The sequence below is a fragment of the Homo sapiens genome, chromosome 20 (assembly GCF_000001405.40).
Source record: "Homo sapiens chromosome 20, GRCh38.p14 Primary Assembly".
NCBI classification, from domain to species: domain Eukaryota; kingdom Metazoa; phylum Chordata; class Mammalia; order Primates; family Hominidae; genus Homo; species Homo sapiens.
Window position 1 is genome coordinate 53,977,218 of NC_000020.11, and position 19,399 is coordinate 53,996,616.

Genomic DNA, 19,399 nt, shown 5'->3' on the forward strand with positions numbered 1-19,399 from the left:
CCTTTGACACCTGGGGATTATGGGGATTACAATTTGAGATGAGATTTGGGTGGGGACACAGCCAAACCATATCAGATACTTTCTTGAAACTGCACCCCTTTTTCTCTGAGATTAGTCAGACACTGGTTAATACCATGAACACGTAATGAACCAAATGGTATCTTTAAAGCCAGACCTCCTCAAGGCCGGCCCACAAAAGTTTCAGGAATCATTATACTGTTTATATTAGACTGAGAAAACCCTTCCATTATTTAAGAACAGCACTTCTAGGTTTACATACCCTTTTTCCTGTCCCAGTTTATTGCAACAAGACTAGTTTTTATCTTTGATTGCCTGTGTCTAGAAAGTTTCTGGTTGTTCATTGCTCACTATATTTCAGAAGCAACTGGGAACTTGGAGTAGATTCCATCACCAATGTAGATGATGGTGAGGAATAGAAGGGGCTGCTTCTGAACAGATTTTTTAAATCTTCATTATGGTTTCAGACCTCCACATCTTTCTGATGTTTTAAGTCTGGCATTATAAATATTGTCTTTTTCAAAAGGAATTGCTATTTTATATTTTTAAAGTCAGACTACTTAGCAAAGCACTCATTTTGGGAAATAATCCAGTTGAGCATCTCTCAAACTTCAATGATTTTCATACCATGTTCTAATTCTTTTTTTAATTTATTTATTTATTATTATTATACTTTAAGTTTTAGGGTACATGTGCACAATGTGCAGGTTAGTTACATATGTATACATGTGCCATGCTGGTGCGCTGCACCCACTAACTCGTCATCTAGCATTAGGTATATCTCCCAATGATATCCCTCCCCCCTCCCCCCACCCCACAACAGTCCCCAGAGTGTGATGTTCCCCTTCCTGTGTCCATGTGTTCTCATTGTTCAATTCCCACCTATGAGTGAGAATATGCAGTGTTTGGTTTTTTGTGGAATACTATGCAGCCATAAAAAATGATGAGTTCACATCCTTTATAGGGACATGGATGAAATTGGAAATCATCATTCTCAGTCAACTATCGCAAGAACAAAAAACCATGTTCTAATTCTTGACCTGTCCATGTACCACCTCTATTCAGTTGATGTTTTTCTTTAAACTGACTCTCTTTTTACTTAAATATATTTTTACTTAATATTTTTTTCTTAAATATATTTTAAAAGAAATGCCTTATCATTACAGCAAATGTCATATCAACATCTTTGCTGTAAATAGTAGTACGTATTAAAAAGTACAATAGATAAAAAACATGCAGTAAGTTCTAATTGTTTTTAAGTCTTTCTTTAAAAAAGAGATCAGCAGGTGTTTGTACAGTAATAAATGCCTGTGAATATCAAGAAGAGACTTCTTATAGAATGAAAACAGGAGATAAATGCACTATGTAAAGGATTAAATGCTTCTCAGATTGTGTCCAAGAGTCACTCTAAATAATTTTGAACTATTCTTGTACATTTGCACACTGGCCTGCAAGTGTAGCCTTCTGTTAGTGGTTGTTGAAATATCCAGTTAAAATAAGAATTCAAAAATGGATAATAAGAGGGCAGGTTCTGATCCCCCTTTAGTGTTTGACACATGTAAAAGAAAATCTGCTCAGAACCCAAGTCTAGAGTACCATACACTGTGGAATCAGGTACAAATTCAGTGTTTCAGCTATGCAATCTTGAGCAAATTAATCACACTTCTCTGCACCTCAGTTCACTTACCCAAAGGCTGACTGTTAGACTATCTACTGCTCATAGCGTTGTTTTAAGGAAAAAATAAAATAAGGCCTGTGTAGGGAAAATCATGGCTGAAGCACAGCTGTGACTCACTGAAGCCTGGTGGCTGGAGTCAAACCCACATGGTTCCTCTTGGTACTTACATGAAGACCCTCATTTACATGGGAGTTGGAGATCCTGGAAGGTATGTTTATGGGGGAGGGGTAGGAACAACTCAAACCATGTCTGGAATTAGGGTACAGTGGTCTATAGGCTTTTCTACAAGCCAGAATGTATTGAAGTAGAGCAAAAATAAAGGTTTCAAGAAATGGACCCTAGCAAGAGAATTTACCAGGAGCAATAAGAACTCCAGAATCAGCAACCTCCAGGGCTTGTGGGAAATAGTGGTTCTGGGTAGGGTGCTGGTGGCTGGTAGAACAACTCATTCCAGCTCAGCTACTCTCGAACTGGCTGTCTACTGGGGAGAAAAAGGGCTGTATGGATGCCTACAGTGGGTCTTGCCAAATGGGGCCACTCTGGGGTCCAAGCAGCTGCAGCGGGATTCTCCTTCCAGAGCTAAGCACAACATGGAAGGAAAAGGTTTTCTGCCTGCTGCCTTGCAAGAGACAGGTGAACTCTCGTGGGCTTGGGAGTCCCAACAGCAGTGATGAGTGGGATAAATTGGCACGGATCATCTCCTTGGTGGCTGTGGTGGTGGCAGTGGTGTGGCTTGGGGGTGACCACCCAGTAGGGACATATGGCAGCCCAGGCTGATTCATGATCACCTATCTTGGATTCCTAGAACTATCTGGATGGGATTTGTGTGGGCATGGATTCATGTATGTTCAGCATTCTATGAAAATTGCTGATATTTATTTTGTTTATGTAAAGCACTTAGCACAGTACCTGCACATGGTATATTTTCAATTAGCAACAGCAATTTTTATAAATGTTGGGAAGAAATGACACTGGCTAGATCTACTAGACCTATTTAGAATTTTTCTTGAGTAATTCTATGTTGCTTTTGAAATGTTCTTAAGTCTGCTTGGGCCAGATGTATGTTTGCTACGGAACCCCTTATAAACAGACATTTTTAACACTGCTAACTAATAGGTTATATTAGGTTCCAAAGTTGGAATGGTGTAGGGGACAATGTGGGTCTCAGTTAAAATCTTGATGACCCAAGTACCATAACATAGTGTTATGTTGACCTTTGAAAACCAAAAATTCTAGGTCATACTAACTTCAGCCCATTGTGCCGTTATTTTGAGATTCATATTGTTTATATTTTGGACTGCACTAGTGAACCCACCCAGCTTGTAAACTTGATAAATGTTCTTTTAACTTGGTCGTTGTCCAAGTTAACTGATAAAAATTTTGAATAAACAGGGCTGAGGCCAGATTCCAGAGGGCTTCCCGAAGACAGCTCCTTGCAATATGTTTTGTTCCTTAATAAATATTCTTTGTCGGCTTGCATTCCTCCAGCTTCTTAGCATGCATTAGATGCAATTGCACAGAGCTGAAAAAAATAGTAATGCTAATAGAGATAATAGTGATGACAACCCACATTATAGGGCCACTCTTAGGCTATTATTGTCAGGCAGTGGGTTAAGTGCTTTATGTTGTATTCCAAGCTAGTATTCAAATGGAAACCAATCTTCTTTAATTTCTAGGTCTCTATTGGAACATCTAATAAACTGTTGCTTTTACTCAAACATCACATCTGCCTTTGGGGCTTGAGGTGTGTCTCTACTCTCCTTGAAAGCTGACTGATGTATTATAGCGTCCTCTTTGAGCATCTTTGAGCCAAGCCTGGATCTCACATTTAACTTGTATTTGTATTAGGCATGGTTTCCATGCTCATACATAAAGACAAATGAAGGCAACTTCTCCCTTCTTTCTGTATGTTCTCTATATAACAGGAAGCCTGGAGCTAGGGAGCCAGGAATATCATTTTTCAATTCATTATTTTCTACTGCCAATGAGTATGTTGTGGTGGATGATCCACAGTTGAGGTCCAGCCTCATTAACAGTGACAATAAAAAATCTAGTTTAAAATCTACGGGATCCTGTTTGGACATTTATATTGCTAAGAATGGGGAGCTAAACAGCAGATAACCTATCCATAGAAACTAGAATAACAGAGTTTCCTCTCCTTTAAAGAGCAAATTCAATTCTTAAGGTTTCTTTAAAAGACTTTCATATGGTAACACTTAAGCCAGCATTTGCCCTGTTCCTAGTGAGTCTTCTAAAAGCATCATTTTGATCATGTGACAGCTCTTCTGAGTCCATTAACTTCACAGTAGCCCTAAGACATTTTCTATTAAGCCCAGATTGGTCAGCCCATCTTTCAAGTGCTTCCATAATTGCCCAGACATATGCCCAGACTTTCTTAACCAGAATCCCCATGGGAAGGTGTTAAAATCTGTATTTGAAACAAATCACCCAAATGATTCAGATACGTTTTTTAAGTTCTTAAGTCTATTTTGACGTACACTGATTGCTCCCTTTTCTAAACAACCGTAGCATTTGTTACCTGTACTCCACAGAGTAATACTAAATTGCAAATTTCGTTGTTTCAGAATCGGGTTATAATTCACTGAATATCAGTCATTTGGCGTTCTTTTTTTTTTTTTTTTTACTCGATCCTCCCAATAAACACGAAAGATAGATGTCATTGGCCAATTTTATAACTGAAGAAACTGAGGCTCAAGAGTTTAAGTGCTCCACTAAAATTTAAACAGTCAGTAACTGTCAGAACTGAGATTTGATAATGTCTCTGTGGCTTCAGAGTGCACATTATTTTCCCACTCCACTCTTTGTCTCCCCCAAAGGAAAGCAGAAAAGGGATATTTTGAAGATATTCCAAATATATCAATTATTAATTACAAATACATGTGCGTGCGTGTGTGTGTGTGTGTGTGTGTATCATGTTCCTCCAAATGGATTTCAAATCTTTTGATGCTAGCAAATGAATTTTATACTTGTTTTGTACTTAGGTGGTGTTAACACCAGAAGCCACACGTGGGTGTTTAGTCATGACCACTGATTGTTCATACTTGAAGAAATGATGACATCATTCACTGAGCACATACTATATATTAGGTGCTTTATATGTACAATTATTGGTTTCTTATAACAACACTGTGAGAAAAACACAGTCCTTATTTTACAGATTAGAAAGGAGGGTCTTTGAGTGGTCAACCAATTTGTCCAGGGATACACAGCTCAACCTTTCTGATTCTGTTGTGTAAGCCTTGCCATACACAAGAATTATCAAGACTGTGTATCCCAATCCTCTTATTCAACAAATGAGGAAAAGAAACTCAAATAGTGTAAATAACTTATGTAAGGTCACAGAGCAAGTGAGAATCCAATTTACTCAGAACAATAAATGGCATATTTACTCCAGTTAACTGCATTTTAAACACGTTTTTGGAAAGTACAACATAATTTGAAATTGGTTTCCTTAAAGGTATTTTTTTATTTTATAATAATAACTACTCTAGCAATAAAGACTATAAATCAAAACAACTTATACTTTCATATCCATAGCCTGTTCTGGGAAAAATTCATTTCTGCTGTCTGTAACTACAGGCTTATAAACTTTAAAATCAATATGTTTGAAAGCTTTTCAACTAAAAATGAGAGAAGAAAGAGAGGTTAGGTTAGTTATCAGTGAAAATATAAGAAAATGTAAGAATTTCCTAGAATTTCCCTTTGCATTTTTCAAAACTCTTCAAAAATTTACAAGGGTGATTTTATAATCATAGTCTTTGTAATTTAACGAAAAGAAAACAAAGGTCCTCATTTTGCTTTCTGCTAGAATATAAGCTTTCTTACAAGAATATAAGCTAGGAAAGGGCAGACATTTGTTTACTGCTACTTTTTCAATGCCTAGTATTTAGCACAAACTATATAGCACAAAACAACTTAGCACAAATAAAGTACTTAGCACAAATAAAGTAATTACAATATTGTTGAATAAGTAAAACTTTGACGAAGAGCCTTTTCTTCTGATTGGGTGCAAGAAGGAGAGACACAGGGGATTTGGTTTTTGATTTCTTTTAACTTCATATTTTTAATGATATACTAAATAAAGCTAAATAGTGGCTCAAAAGACAGTGAGACTGAAATAAATGAAATTCTATCATTAGGGAGATGAATGTCAAGTTGTCCTGACATTGTTTTTCAAAGGAATAGCTTGAACTTCAAAGAAGAACCACTGTATCTCTTGTAGATTCCAAACATTAAATAAGCACTTGAGGCAATAGTTTAGCAGCTTTCTCAAACTGGACAGTATAGAAAGATAAAGACGTCGGCCTGGTTAGTTCTTCAGCCCTCCTGAGCACGGAGGAAATAGATGAGAGGTAACACTGTTCAGTGGGCACTTTTGTACTAGGTCCAGTGTTGGAGGTTTTACCATCATTATTTCACTTAATCCTTACTTCATTTGTATTCATTTGTATGACATAGGTACTATTATCATTTGCATCTTACAAGTGAGGAAACGAAAGCTCATAGAGACAAACTGAGACTCAAAGTCAGAGCTGTCTGATTTCAAACTTTTAGCTTTTACATCAGTGTTTCTCAAACTTTAGCCACTGGCACACCACCTATGTGGTTTTTACCATATTGTATCATCTGTAGCAGCCATGGAAGTGTGCTGCTCAGATTCCTGCAAGAAAGACAGCCCCACCTGTCATGCCTTCAGCTTCTGCTCCTCTCCCTGGGGGCTCCTACCAATGACTGGGCACGACAGGAGTACTGGGCCATTCATTCCGGTCCAGTGTGGGCCTCTGGAACAGGCAATCTGTACTCTATGATTCTCCATTGGCTTGGTCAGGACTTTCTTAGCACCACCTTCAGTTTGAGGCTTTCTCCACCCACTTCTCCTTCCTTCTCTCTCTTTCTTGCTAGATGGTCAGAACTCTCTGTAGTCTGAAGGCTCTCTGTACCTAGCTCTGCCACTCCTACTTCTCCTTCACAGATGTCTTCCTCCAATAAATCTCTTGCACGTCAATTCTGTCTTGGTGTCTGCTTCTTGGAGGACCCAAATTTACCATTATTTATCTACTATCAGAACCATTATTTATGTAATACTGTCTTTTTATTAGATTCCTTTTTAAACAAAATATGCTTATTTAACCTTGAGCAAAACATACGTTAATCTCAAATTTAATGTGCTAACTCTATTTTTCCTAAGACACCTTGAATATGCATATGAATACATGGTAATTATTTAACTAAAATTATTCAGATATGGGCCACTTAAGTCTTCTCTCTTGTCTCCAATATACACATATACCTCACTTGGAAATTGTTTCTTCTATTATATTGCTGGTAAAAGATATTTTAAGATAAGTAATGGTGGGTGATGAAGAAAAAGGATTACAACAGAATGTGTCAGCTGACATCATCCAAAGTTTTTATGAAATAGTGAAGACTGTGTTCTGGGAAGAACCTGGAAGGAAGGTTTCTGTATGACAGGAAGCAAACAGGCAAGGGGCCCCGCATCCAGCTGGATTCTGGACGACGGAGTAAAGCTGACACCACAGTGGCATCTGCATTCATCATCTGCTTTGCATGGTGTGCCAAGTGCGATAGATGTTTTGATGAAATTCTGAAGTTAGATTTTTCCAGCTCTATGAATTCCACCCACACCCTCATCTCCAACTTCTTGCTCATCTTTTGGCCAAATTTAAAACAGACAAAAGCTCTGCACATGTGTAGCAGCTGGGGCTTGCTCAGCAATGATAATTAAGGAATAGATCTAGAATAACTCAGCCCCACTCTCCCTGTCCTTGCACCACTCAGACCTCAGATGGGAACAAAATCAGACAGTGGTTTGACTTTTCCTGTCATAGAGCACAGTGTTTGCCTACCCTGGTGGTGAACTGATGGACACCCTAGGTTTCTAAAAGGATAGTGGAGACCTAGTGGCTGATAATGAATGATTCTGTCTGGCTGGGGAGGAGTGAAGACAGACAGCCCCTAGGTAGTTCATCTTGCCAGAGTAAGAGTGCTCAAAGAGACCAGGAAGAAGTCAGGGTTTTAAACCATTTCAGAAGGAAAATGAAATCATGAAATACCACAACCCTCTGTCATGAAATGAAGTCACTCAAAGAATGAAAAATTCTACTTGTTCATTTCCTTTTCTTCCCCACGAAACACATGTTTATAACATGACAGGCGTTTCATTTTTCCTAGGAACACATTAGAAGGCTTCTACTCAATGGGAAGCCGAGTCATTTTGAAGAAGAAGAAACACCTTCCATACATTGTTGAGTACAACAGTTAGCCCAATAGAAATAAGTTCTGGAGTCATCCCCGCCCGGACGACTCTCTAACGCTTGAAAATCAGACTTACCTTTTTCCAAAACAGTTTGCCCAGAGGCAGAGAGGTGGGTCCTGATTTCTCCTTGGTGCCTTCCTTCGCAGGTTCAGGGGTTGTCACGGACTGTGTGTGCCCCGATGGGTTGCATCCTTTGGAATTCTTGCCAGCCCCTTGGGTCTCCTGGGATGTAAAGTTGGCTTTGTCTGACTTAAGGTCAGCTGAAGTGGTGGGTGACTTTTCAGCACCCTAAAGAGTTAAAAAAAATGGAGGGAAAACATTCAAAATGGTCTCAAAATTTTAAAAATGGAAGATCTCTTTTTAATAAACATGGGCTGAGGTTATACATAATGTTAATTTTCTTCTTTATATTTTTCTGTATTTTAAAAATTTTTACTGTGAATGTGGACTTGTGTTAAAATCTCAGAAAAAGTTAAGATATTTTTCTTTCAAAAAATAAACATAGAAGCATTATTAATTATGTTTATGTAAGTAACTCATTAGGAATCAAGGTGGTGGTAAGAGACCCTTTGCTGTTAGAATATGGAGTTCTTATTTAGGCCACTGGTCTCCAAATGGTTTCAATCAAGTTCCCATCAGTAAAAACATTTTGAATTTCCACCTTCAATACATGCATACTTATTTATGTATATATTATAAACATGCATCATCTTACTGATCAAAATTAGAAATTAAAGGAGAGTTAAATTAAATATAGAACTTCTGAAATTTTTCTCCATACTCCACTTTGGGGATGACTGAGTTAGACTATAAAGTTAGTAAAAGGCAACTAGGCTGGAACTTGGTGAAGGGATTTTGAATTGGAAGAGTGTCCACAAACCCTATTTCTTCACTTTTAGGTGCAGCCCTACACTCCACAATTAAAACTTCTTGAAATGTTATCCATTCGGTCTTTATTTCCTCTCTTCCTCTCTCTTCCTTCCCTTCTTCCCTTCCTCCGCCTCCTTCCCTCTGTCTTTTTCTCTCTCCCTCTGTCCGTATCTCCTTTCTCTCTTTCTGTCTCTCTCTCTGAGCAGCTGCACTGAAGTCCAATTCCAGGACATCTGATTTCTTCAGCAAGGGGGTGTTAATTTCTATGCTCTGCCACCCACTGAGTCATGAGATAAAGGAAGAGTTGGGAGAATTATAGTCAGAATTTATCTTGACATGAGTGAATATTGGTACTCATAATTTTAACATCAGGTTCATCTGACCTAACCTCTTAATCCTAAACATCTTCATTTTATGATTTTTTTTGCTCTGGATACTTATGACTCAATCCCTTTAAATTCCCAGGGATGTAATATCCTTGAATAAATTTTCTGACTAAAAGAAAAAATATATTGCAATAAAAATGGGGTATGGGCCGGGTGTGGTGGCCCAACACTTGTAATCCCAGCATTTTGGGAGGCCGACGTGGGAAGATTTCTTGAGGTCGGGAGTTCAAGACCAGCCTGGGCAACATGGTGAAACCCTATCTCTACAAATAATAAAAAATTAGCTGGGCATGGTGGCTTGCACCTGTGGTCCCAGCTACTTGGAGGCTGAGGCAGGAGGATTGCTTGAGTCCAGGAGGCTGCAGTGAGCCATGATCGTGCCACTGTACTCCAGCCTAGGCAACAGAACAAGACACCATCTCAAAAAAAATATAGAATATGGACAAATTCAGAAAGTTTGACAGTATTTTTTGATCCTGGAAAGAGTCTTAAAGCCCATCTGATCCAATGCATGAATTTTCATGGATGGGGAAACTGAGGCCAATGATCTGCCCAACGCTGAACAAGGGCACAACCTGGCCTCAAGTCTGAACTTCTGGCTCCTTTCTAGAGCTCTTCCCAGGCAGCATATTGCTTCTCCAAAGGATGTTTGCAAATAACATGAATTTTACTATTTGATGCAAGACACAACATCTTCTTTGCTGAAATTTTTAATACTAAGAAGGAGTCATCCATTGAGCAGATTCTAAGTTCAAGTTAAGATAAAGAACTGACGTCTGGAAATGAATTTTGTGATAGTTGATACTGGAATAGCTCCAGTTCCATTTAAAAGTATACAAAATGGCAAAATGTTGGAATTTACAATAACCTTTGCATTTTATAGACAGTGAAGTCAAAATGGCTGAGCTCATAAGATTCTGCATTACAAACGTCCCAAACGCTCTTGAGTACCTGGTGCTATTTTAGCTCTAAACGGTAATTAAATTAAAGGGGACTGGTTAAAGGGTAAGTACCCCTCCTCCTAACACACACATGCTAAGTAGCTTGTTTTCTTTTTCAGAAAATAAGAGAAAGTATTATTCAATAATTCATTTAAAATCCACTTTGAGTGTCCTCTATGAGCCATGATATGTACTAAGTGCTGGGGTTACATGTCCTCAAGGAGAGGATGACAGTAAATAATTCCACAAATAAATGTAAAATTTCAACTGTAATAAGTGCTACTGAGTGGGGAGGCGATTTGAGGCTATTCCTCTCAATCCCATAAAAAGCTAAATCAAGGAGTTTGATCCACTCATGAAAATCAGGGAAGACTTCACTGAGAAAAGGATGGTTGTGCTTTGATCTGAAGGGTGACTGAAAATTAACCAGAGAAGGGAAGAAGAGAGTTTTCCACGCACAGGGAACAACTGCCCTAAGGTCCTTCGGCAAGTATCGGAGCAAAGAGTGGCCAAGCGTGGCTACTTCAACAACAACCTCTCCTTCTGCTTTCCTGGGAGAATCTCCATTTGCCCAGTGGTCCATTTTAGACCAAGAATCCAGGGGTTGGGGCTGACCTCATCCCCATCTCTAAGAAAGGGCTCTGGTTGCTTTAAGCCAATCATCAATCTGCCGAAGTCATTAGAAGGGCGGCTCCATGGCCCCACGCTATTTTGGTGTAACTTCTGTGGCTTGGCTTTGTACCTTTTCTAAATGCTGTGTTATTTTTCTGGCTCAAGGGTTCCCTTTGATGTGCATTTAGCCCACTTACTCAGAGTCACATAGAGGTTACAAAAAACAAGGTCCCCAGGTCCTGGAGTGCCAGAATTTACCTGGGACAGCTCCAGTTTACCTAATGCATTACATACTTGGCCGTTTTCACCGCTCAGCCACCACCCTTTCTCTCTCTGCTTAGTCTCCCTGGACCACTGTTGCATCTTGAAGACATAATTTCCAACTTTAAACTTTTATTTGATGACAAGAATAAAAGGTAACAGTGACAGACACTGTTTTAAGCACCTGAATGTCCTGACAAAAGTCCTATGACGAACGATTATTTTTTGTATTTTAAAATTGATGAATCATAGTTTTACATATTTTCGGGGGGTCCATGTGATATTTTGATGCCTGTATACAAAGTGCAATGATTAAACCAGGGTAACTGGAATTTCCATCACCTCAAACTCTTATCCTTTCTTTGTGTTGGAAGCTTACAATTTTTCTCTTCTAGCTGTTTTGAAATATCCAATAAATTACTGTTAGCTGTAATTTCCCAATGGTACTATCAAATGCTACAACTTACAGGAAGACACTAATTTTTATGCCAATTTCACAGACAGGGAAATTTAGTTGCTTGGTGGCTAAGTAACTTGCCCACAGTTACACTAATGAGGGGGCAGAGCTGACAGCTGAATCCAGGGAGTCTGATCCCCAAACCCAAGCATTAATAGTGACTCCATACTACACTGTTTCCAATGAATCAAGGTTTCCTGCTCCCTGGGCTATTCCACCCATCAGTGAGGGAAATCTATACCACCGTTCTCAACAAGGGCAATATACAACAAAAAATAATATTGCATTTGTTCTTGGGAGAAGGGTTATGCCAAATTAGATATTAACATGGTCTGTGTCTCCCCTAAAGAATTACAGTGCATTAACAGGTATAAAGAATATTTGTTACATTAAAATTTCGTGGAGGGAAGGGTGATTAGGGCAAAAAATAGTCTAAAAAAGTATCATGGTGAGGGCTGATACTGAGATAAAGATTGGGAAACACATCTATACTGATCAGTTTCATAGGGAAGTGACCAATTTTTTTTTCTCTTTGCATTGGGAGGATATCCAGAAACCCTTCAAAAACATTACAAGGGCATGACCCTACTACAGTTATAGTAACTATATAATTCTAATTTATTTGTGTAGTTGTTTGTTGAATATGTATCTCTTTTGCTAGAGTCTTGGTCATCATCATATCCTAAGACCAAGAAAGTCTTGGTCATGATTACGTCCCCAATTCCCATCAGGCCTAGCTTCTGGCACAAAATAGACAATCAGTCATTCAATTAATAATTACAGTCTATGACAGGGACCAGAGACAGACACCCACACAAGATCCTGTCATGCCATATTTCCAGCCACCCACCCCTGCTCACTGGGTTGTAGAATACCAGTCAGAACACCATTAGTCTTTTCATTCCTGCCCACCACTCTCCTGCCTTCCCAAAGAAGTCCCCCAGATGGAGTTCTGCCAGCATCAACCAACTGGATATTCTTTGTTTGCGTTACAGAGGAGACTACAAAAATTTTAATTGTGTTTTCAGAGGCAATCTCATGAATAGGGTTGCCAGATTTAGCACATGAGAATAAGAATATGAGATATTCCATTAAATATTAATTTAAGATCAGCAAAGAATAATTTTCTAGCATAAGCATGTCCCAAATATTGCATGGGACATACTTATATTTAAATTAAAAAGTTATTTCTTGTTTATCAAAAATTTGAATTTAACTGAGTCCTGTATATTTTACCTGGTGGCCCTGCCCATGAAATTCTAGTGGATTCAATTTGGAGATTGTATGTCAAATGACCTTACCTTCTTAATAAATTTTCGTCTTGTTTTCACATTGGGTGTGGGAGAGAGGAGATGTTAGTAAGATGTAAACACTACACCAAGAACCAAAAACAATGAATGAATGGTAGAGCTTATAAATCATGCATGCTGCTTGCTAATACTTCAGCTGCCTTACAGAAAGGGTGGGCACTGGGGAAACCTGAGGAGAGAGGGGAGCATTTTGGGGCATGGCAAAGGCATTCTAAAGGAATGCTCTGTTTTGTGTCTAAAGTTGTCACCAAACAGTGGTGGCCACATGAAAAAGTTTGATTCTGAGACATCACATGCCATTAGGCCGAGAAAAATGGTTCCAATTCAGCAAAAGCTGACACTAAATGTATTTCACTTACTGATTTCAGACTTCCCTACTTTTTGAACTGAGAAAATTCTTTTTATAAGAAGGATCATAGAGATGTAGAGAAATAAAGCCCCAGAATTAACCAGAATTGGTAACTTTTTTTTTAATAGCAAAATAGTTTTATCCTTCAATTTGCTTGAATTTCTCGTTTTCTTTTCCAGGTGACAAACCCATGGGGAAATGGAGAGTATCACACCTCCTAAAATCATGATAATGTCACTGAGAGAATCTGGCTGGTTATTTAAAGGCCCTACTTTCCTATCTTTAGAGACAACAGAAATAATCAAAAGAGAAAAAGAAATGAACTATCTCAGGTGCAGAGGTAAAAGCCAATGAGCTCTAACAAACTGCTGCGTAAATAAGAATTCAGAACATTTGGGAGGTGTCCCTTACTTTGATTTACACTTACATAAAAAAATACACTGAATGCCACTCAAGGCAAAACCCTGAAGTCCTTGTGTCTGTGTTACAGAATTCCAGAAGGCTGTTCCCGCGGCCTCTTCCCACTCTTCCAGAATCCTGTCTTTTCCCCATCTACCTCAGTGACAAGATGGGAGGCCAACAGTTTTTGGGAAGCCCTAGGAATGATAACATTGAACTTGGGTGGTCCCTTTATTGGTGGCAAGAGATACTGCAGACGTAAAATTTTGTAGTGCATGAAGTGAATGTCATAATGAAAGGCAGATCTGGGGAAACATCATACACTTCTTAAACTTTCAAGGCCCCTTACTTACAAAAGCTCCAAGTGGGAGTTAAACTAGATTCTTTCCTATGAGATCTATGACGCGTTTCACCAGCAGTTACTAAGTTATTTCCCAGCAGTTACTAAGTTATGTGATGTTGGAGCACATTTTAATCTTCCCTCCCCCGTTGCAATATTTATCATTCCCCATTCTTTTCTCTTCACAGAACAAAATTATCCTGTATGGAAATTGAAAGGTGGCTTCATAACATAGTCTGCTTACGCAAATACAGATTCAGCTGTGAGAACTTTCTATGGAGTGCTTATTTGCATATACAATCCCGGGACTGTGACATCCAGGTAGGGAAGTTTTTTTAATACAGGCTTTTGACTTGGTGGAAAATGGCTGATATTTTAAACAAATTTTCAAGCATGCTAACCCAATTCAGGGATCCTTTAAACTGATGGTTTCAGACAAACACTGGCGTCTTCTTAGACATTGGAAGCATAATATTTCCCAAACTGACTTCAGTGTTGTCCTAACTTCCCAAGGACATGGAGCTGAAACATGCTCTGCCTTCATTCATTGCTTTTTTCCGCCTGGACTTTTATTTGGGTTCAGTGTAAGCTTAGTTAATATTGGAAATAGATGAAACAGACCACAGAAAGATAACATTATTACTTGAGGTTAGAAGAGTATTTCCCAAAATGTAGGAAGCATACCATTGGTGGATCAGAGAAGATTATAGATTGTGCAGAAATATGATATTACATAGTATTCAAATAGTGAAACCACTTCTCCTTTTCCAACTCTCATTTAATCCTTCTACTAACATTCTGGAGAAAGTCTCAGTCTGGTGATGGTACATCTTTAACATTTTTCTACCATTGGCCAATTAATCACCTTTTAATAAAGCTAGAAAGAGCATCAGATTCAGAGCTTAATACAAATGAGGTAGCTAGAATGTAATGTCTTTTTAATTAGCCAAATTAATGCTTACCTTCCTCTTAGGAAAAATTATTCTGATTTTCTATATATGATATAAAGTTTCTTTTAAAGATACAATTTAAATAGAAAATAGGTCAATTTCAATGTAAAAATATCAAATAATAGTACATCTAACAAAAATGGTGAAGGTGGTACACAAGTTATTGACATTTGGGAAATACTGGGTTAGAAGAATAGTTCCAGAACCCTGGTCCGCACTAGGAAGACACCTGTTTGAAATGTTTATGACTATGGGGACTTAAAAATCACTGAAGTTTAATTCATATCATCTTTAATTCTCTTTTAATGATCCCCACCACCCAAGGCTCTGTTTTTACTGGAGAGGAGCTGGGTGGGCTCAGGATGGCACATGTCTTGTGAAGACCAGAGTTCTTGTTTTTCCTCCTACTTTAATAAGATACAGACCTTATGCCTAAAGAATTTTCTAAAGGCGAGTCCTAGCCTGGGGCTATCCAGGTGCTTTTTCTTGGTGCCTCTAGCCTGGATCTCGGATGTCTTCTGACCAGCTTGTCCATCACAGACACTTTCTGCTTTCGATGCCTTTGGGGCAACAGCAGTCACAACCTCAGAACTTTGTTTTTGAACAAAATTCTTTTTGTTTTCTGTTGTTTTAAAGTGCATTAATACGCTGTGACAATTAACTGTTGGTACACCATCCCCTCTTCTAACCACAAAACACCCTGTAAATGTTTATCTTTTTTAAACTTCCATATTCACAATTTTAGATATACAGTGATTTTCAACAGTGACCTATTTAAATGACCCAGATGAACACACCTCAAAGCAAGACAGAACAAAACAAAACTCTGTATCTCCATTTGCTGAAGACAAATAACAGGAGAAGATAATGCAGTCTCTACTTGATAGTTGTAGATATCTAAATGCTATTGCTACATGGTAAAGTAAAAAATACCTGCAGACAAAATATTTCTTTTTCATCCTGGAGTCAAAGCAAAGACTGCTGCTGAATGTCTTTTAGTCTCAAATCGATCTCCTTTGATTCACTATTAGAAACTTTATGGAAGCAATATCACCTGCAAAAATTTCAATTCACTTCTAGATGGGTAGACCCCCGCCAGGCAGAGAAAATGTGTAGTGTGAACCAATCCACTGAGGCAAAGTAGAGGGAGATCGAAACCGAAATAGCCTGGCTACAACCACTCAAGATTGTTGGCTCAAGTTACAAATGTCAGGGACTTTCGTGTAGGGAAGGTAGTGGGCTGAAAACAATACAGACTTCAAAAGCATGAATCCAAGAACTTCAGTAGAAAAGATATCAAAATTGCAAGGTATGAGAACCAGGTTTGTAGAAAACACATCTGTTTGTGGGTGTCATGGACAACCTACATTCACAAAACCCGCTTTTGAGACCCAGCTCCACTAATGTGACCCCACAGCTTCCTGGGCAGGACGGTGAGATTTTATCAGCTGGGTACGTTCAGTTTTGACCACATTCTGGGTCAGGGAGGAGTCTTGGTCCATGACCAGCTAAAGAGAATGAGTGCATCAGGTCACTTGGGAAGCCACACACACATTCCCATACTCCACTGTTTAGAGCCTTTTACGCTATGTGGCTTCAAACAACGCAAGACATAGAACCAAAAGAAATACGTTTTGCCCCAACCATTCATTGAACTTGACCCTATGACCTCGGAGCAAATGAATAACTTTATAGGAAAATGCATGTAGATGCTTCAGATACATATTTTTTTCCAATGGAAGAAGAAAATTCTCGAGGAAACCAAGAAATACAATACAAATGTAGTCATGTCATTCAACCAATCTTGGCTGTGATCATTGAAATAGGGATCGCTACATTTAATCAGAGCTCTACAGTTTGCAAAACAATGCCACACCTTCATTCAACCTTGGGGTCCAGGACAAAGAATTTTTTTGTCCCAATTTTATAGACATGAAGACTTGGGTTCAGACAGATTAAGATTGTACCACTATCAAGTAGCAGAACTGGAGCTGAAATGCAGGTCTTTTGAGACAAAATCTAGGATCCTCTTTTCACAGCCAGCTCCTTCACATGTGGGTAGCAGATGTAGGGGGCAAACCAAGCCATGTATCTGATCCCACTGTTTTTCAAAGCACTTTCCGATATCAGAAGAAGGACCCAAGACACTTATCTGTCACCAAGTTAAACTTCCTTCATGGTTCCCGTGAAACTTAAACCGTGTATTCCACTAGAGGTAACGAGCCTTGTCCAGTGTAAAGGGAGAACATCTCTAGGAAGATGGTATTTCAAACCAAGTTTATTTTGAGGAGAGTGGGCTGAATTCTTGGATGACAGTGAAGAACCTAGGCTCTCTAGCGTGTCCTAACGCCTCTGCATGGCCATCCGTTTGGCAGGTGCCCCAGGGAAACTATTCTATTTCACCAAACCACTGCCTTTGCAGTAAAGATTTATTTAGTTTTCAAATTACATTGAAAAATAACATATTTTTTAGAAAACAAAAATATAGCAGCTTTCTTCTACTTTATTTTTTTAGAGTCCACGTCCTACTGAAAAGCTTTCTTCTACTTTACATGGACTGTTTTTTACTATATTCCCTGGGTCCCTCTACGCACAACTAAAAAGACTAAGATGATGATATAATTATTAGTATTCTGTTCTTATGCTATATAAGAAATTGGTATTGTGATATTATTTAGCCAGAGTTGGCACGTCTTTCAAGCTTTCCAGTAAAATTTTAATTTAACTACTGTTAATGTAAATAAAATATTTTAATGACAACCTAACAGCACTATTAAATTGCTAATTATATATAGATATGATACACACACACACACACACACACACACACATATATGTATTCAAAAAACAAGCAGGCAGACACAAATCCAAATCCAATTCTATGCGCAAACCCAAATATATACATACACACTTCCAACTACCTACCGTGTCTTCTGGGTCCTTTTTTGTTTCAGCTTTGTTAGGTGAAACCTTAAAAGTTTGAGAAAGCCAAATATTAGAAATCATTGCTCTTTAGAGTGATTTTTATTTCATAGATAAATAACTCTTTAGGGTGGTCCAGTTCACCATACAGGTCAAGAATAAAATGAGAAGTATTTTTAGTTCAATAGAAATCTCAGGACCGCCGGGTAATACAAAAGTTAACAAAATTAATATCTTATAATGAGATACATCTGATCTTATACATTTACCAAGAGTTTGACCACATTCAAAATTGTCTCCTGGAAGACCACAGACTTCCAATAAATTTTACCATTACTCCAAACACATGTGCAACCCTCTGGTGTTTGTGGCACATTCTGTTGACATTTATTGTTTTTTCTTTTGAGGTTAGTCTTGATATTTGAAAATAGCCCAAACACATTTGGGACAGTCTGCTTCACTATGCATTCATTCATTCAGGTTTTTTTTTTTTTGAATGATTTCTACAGTATTTTATTTGCCACTTGAGTGGCAAAACTGCTTTGAGATGTCCACAACACAGGGAGATATTTTTCAATTATTTTTATGATCAATGAACATAAGACATTCAATTGCAATAGAATTCCATTACAACACAGCCCATGTTACATGATTTGGGCATCCACTGCTTATACCATGGTTCCGAGCTTCAGGGGCTCTCTTGCTAAAAGTCTGATATAACACAACTTTCTTATGAAGCATATCTTGTCCCTGTTCTCTCCCATGCTCCAACAGCACCATGATAATTCATTTAGTACAATAACATTCAAATGTGCATTATTCTTAGAATTAACAAAACTTTTGAGCAATAGAGTGGAGGGGAAAAGAGGAGAAAACTGCTTACCAGAGTTTTAAAGAAACTCATGATGGAATTATTATTCTCTGCTATAGCTGCTGCCTGGGAATCGTCCTTTGCAGTCTCCAGTCCTTCTGGGTCCCCAGGGACAGAGCAATCCGCAGTTCCAAGTTCTTGTCCTTCTTTTTCCTTGCCGTCAACTATGTCCTAGGGGCAAAACAGTTGTCACAGTTGCCACTTGCTGAATGTGAACTCTCAAAGTCATACTTTTGCTTCACACCCCTTTCTCTCTTACCCCCTAATTCCAGCCATACTTCTTCTGCCCACAGGCGTGCAGAACAATCATGAGATTATAAGAGTCACTCTTCCTTCCCTCCCCCTCTTTCTAACATATTCAGCATTTGCTGTTGGTTGGAGGGACATTGTTTGGAGCCAAAGGGTAACAAACACAGCAGTGCACGTTGCATTTCAAACAAAAACCCTTTTCTTCCAATTCTGCAAAGAAGTTGTGTAAGGTATCGATATTTTCCATCTTTATAGTCTCCTTATCTATGATGTGTACATTATCCCCAGAGATGGCGTTTCCCACAATTTCCACAGAGTTGGATTATATCAACTAAAAAAAAAAAAAAAAAAAAAGAAAAAGAAAAAGAAAAAGTACTGGTGTTTAAAAATAACTATTTTGCTTTTGAGATATGAGGTTCATCTGTGCAAGGGGTGTGATAGGGGAACTGATTTTCTCCCCGACCTCCTCAGGAGGGTAGGATGCGTTC

General features: G+C 38.5%; 1 protein-coding gene across 19 annotated transcripts in view; it reads right to left on the minus strand.

The window, feature by feature from the left end:
* BCAS1 (brain enriched myelin associated protein 1) overlaps window positions 1-19,399 on the minus strand; it is a 127,054-nt gene that overhangs the window by 33,677 nt on the left and 73,978 nt on the right. For 11 of the 19 annotated variants that reach the window (NM_001366297.2, XM_017028111.3, NM_001366295.2 and 8 more), the window contains exons 5-7: window positions 18,675-18,833; window positions 17,795-17,839; window positions 8,070-8,282 (exon numbers count right to left, since the gene is read on the minus strand). In NM_001366297.2, coding sequence (NP_001353226.1) covers window positions 8,070-8,282; window positions 17,795-17,839; window positions 18,675-18,833 — 417 coding nt within the window. Of the gene's footprint in view, window positions 1-8,069; window positions 8,283-15,294; window positions 15,430-17,794; window positions 17,840-18,674; window positions 18,834-19,399 lie in introns of all 19 variants that reach the window. The other 8 variants (XM_005260595.4, XM_005260591.4, XM_005260589.4 and 5 more) reach the window with 1 other exon arrangement.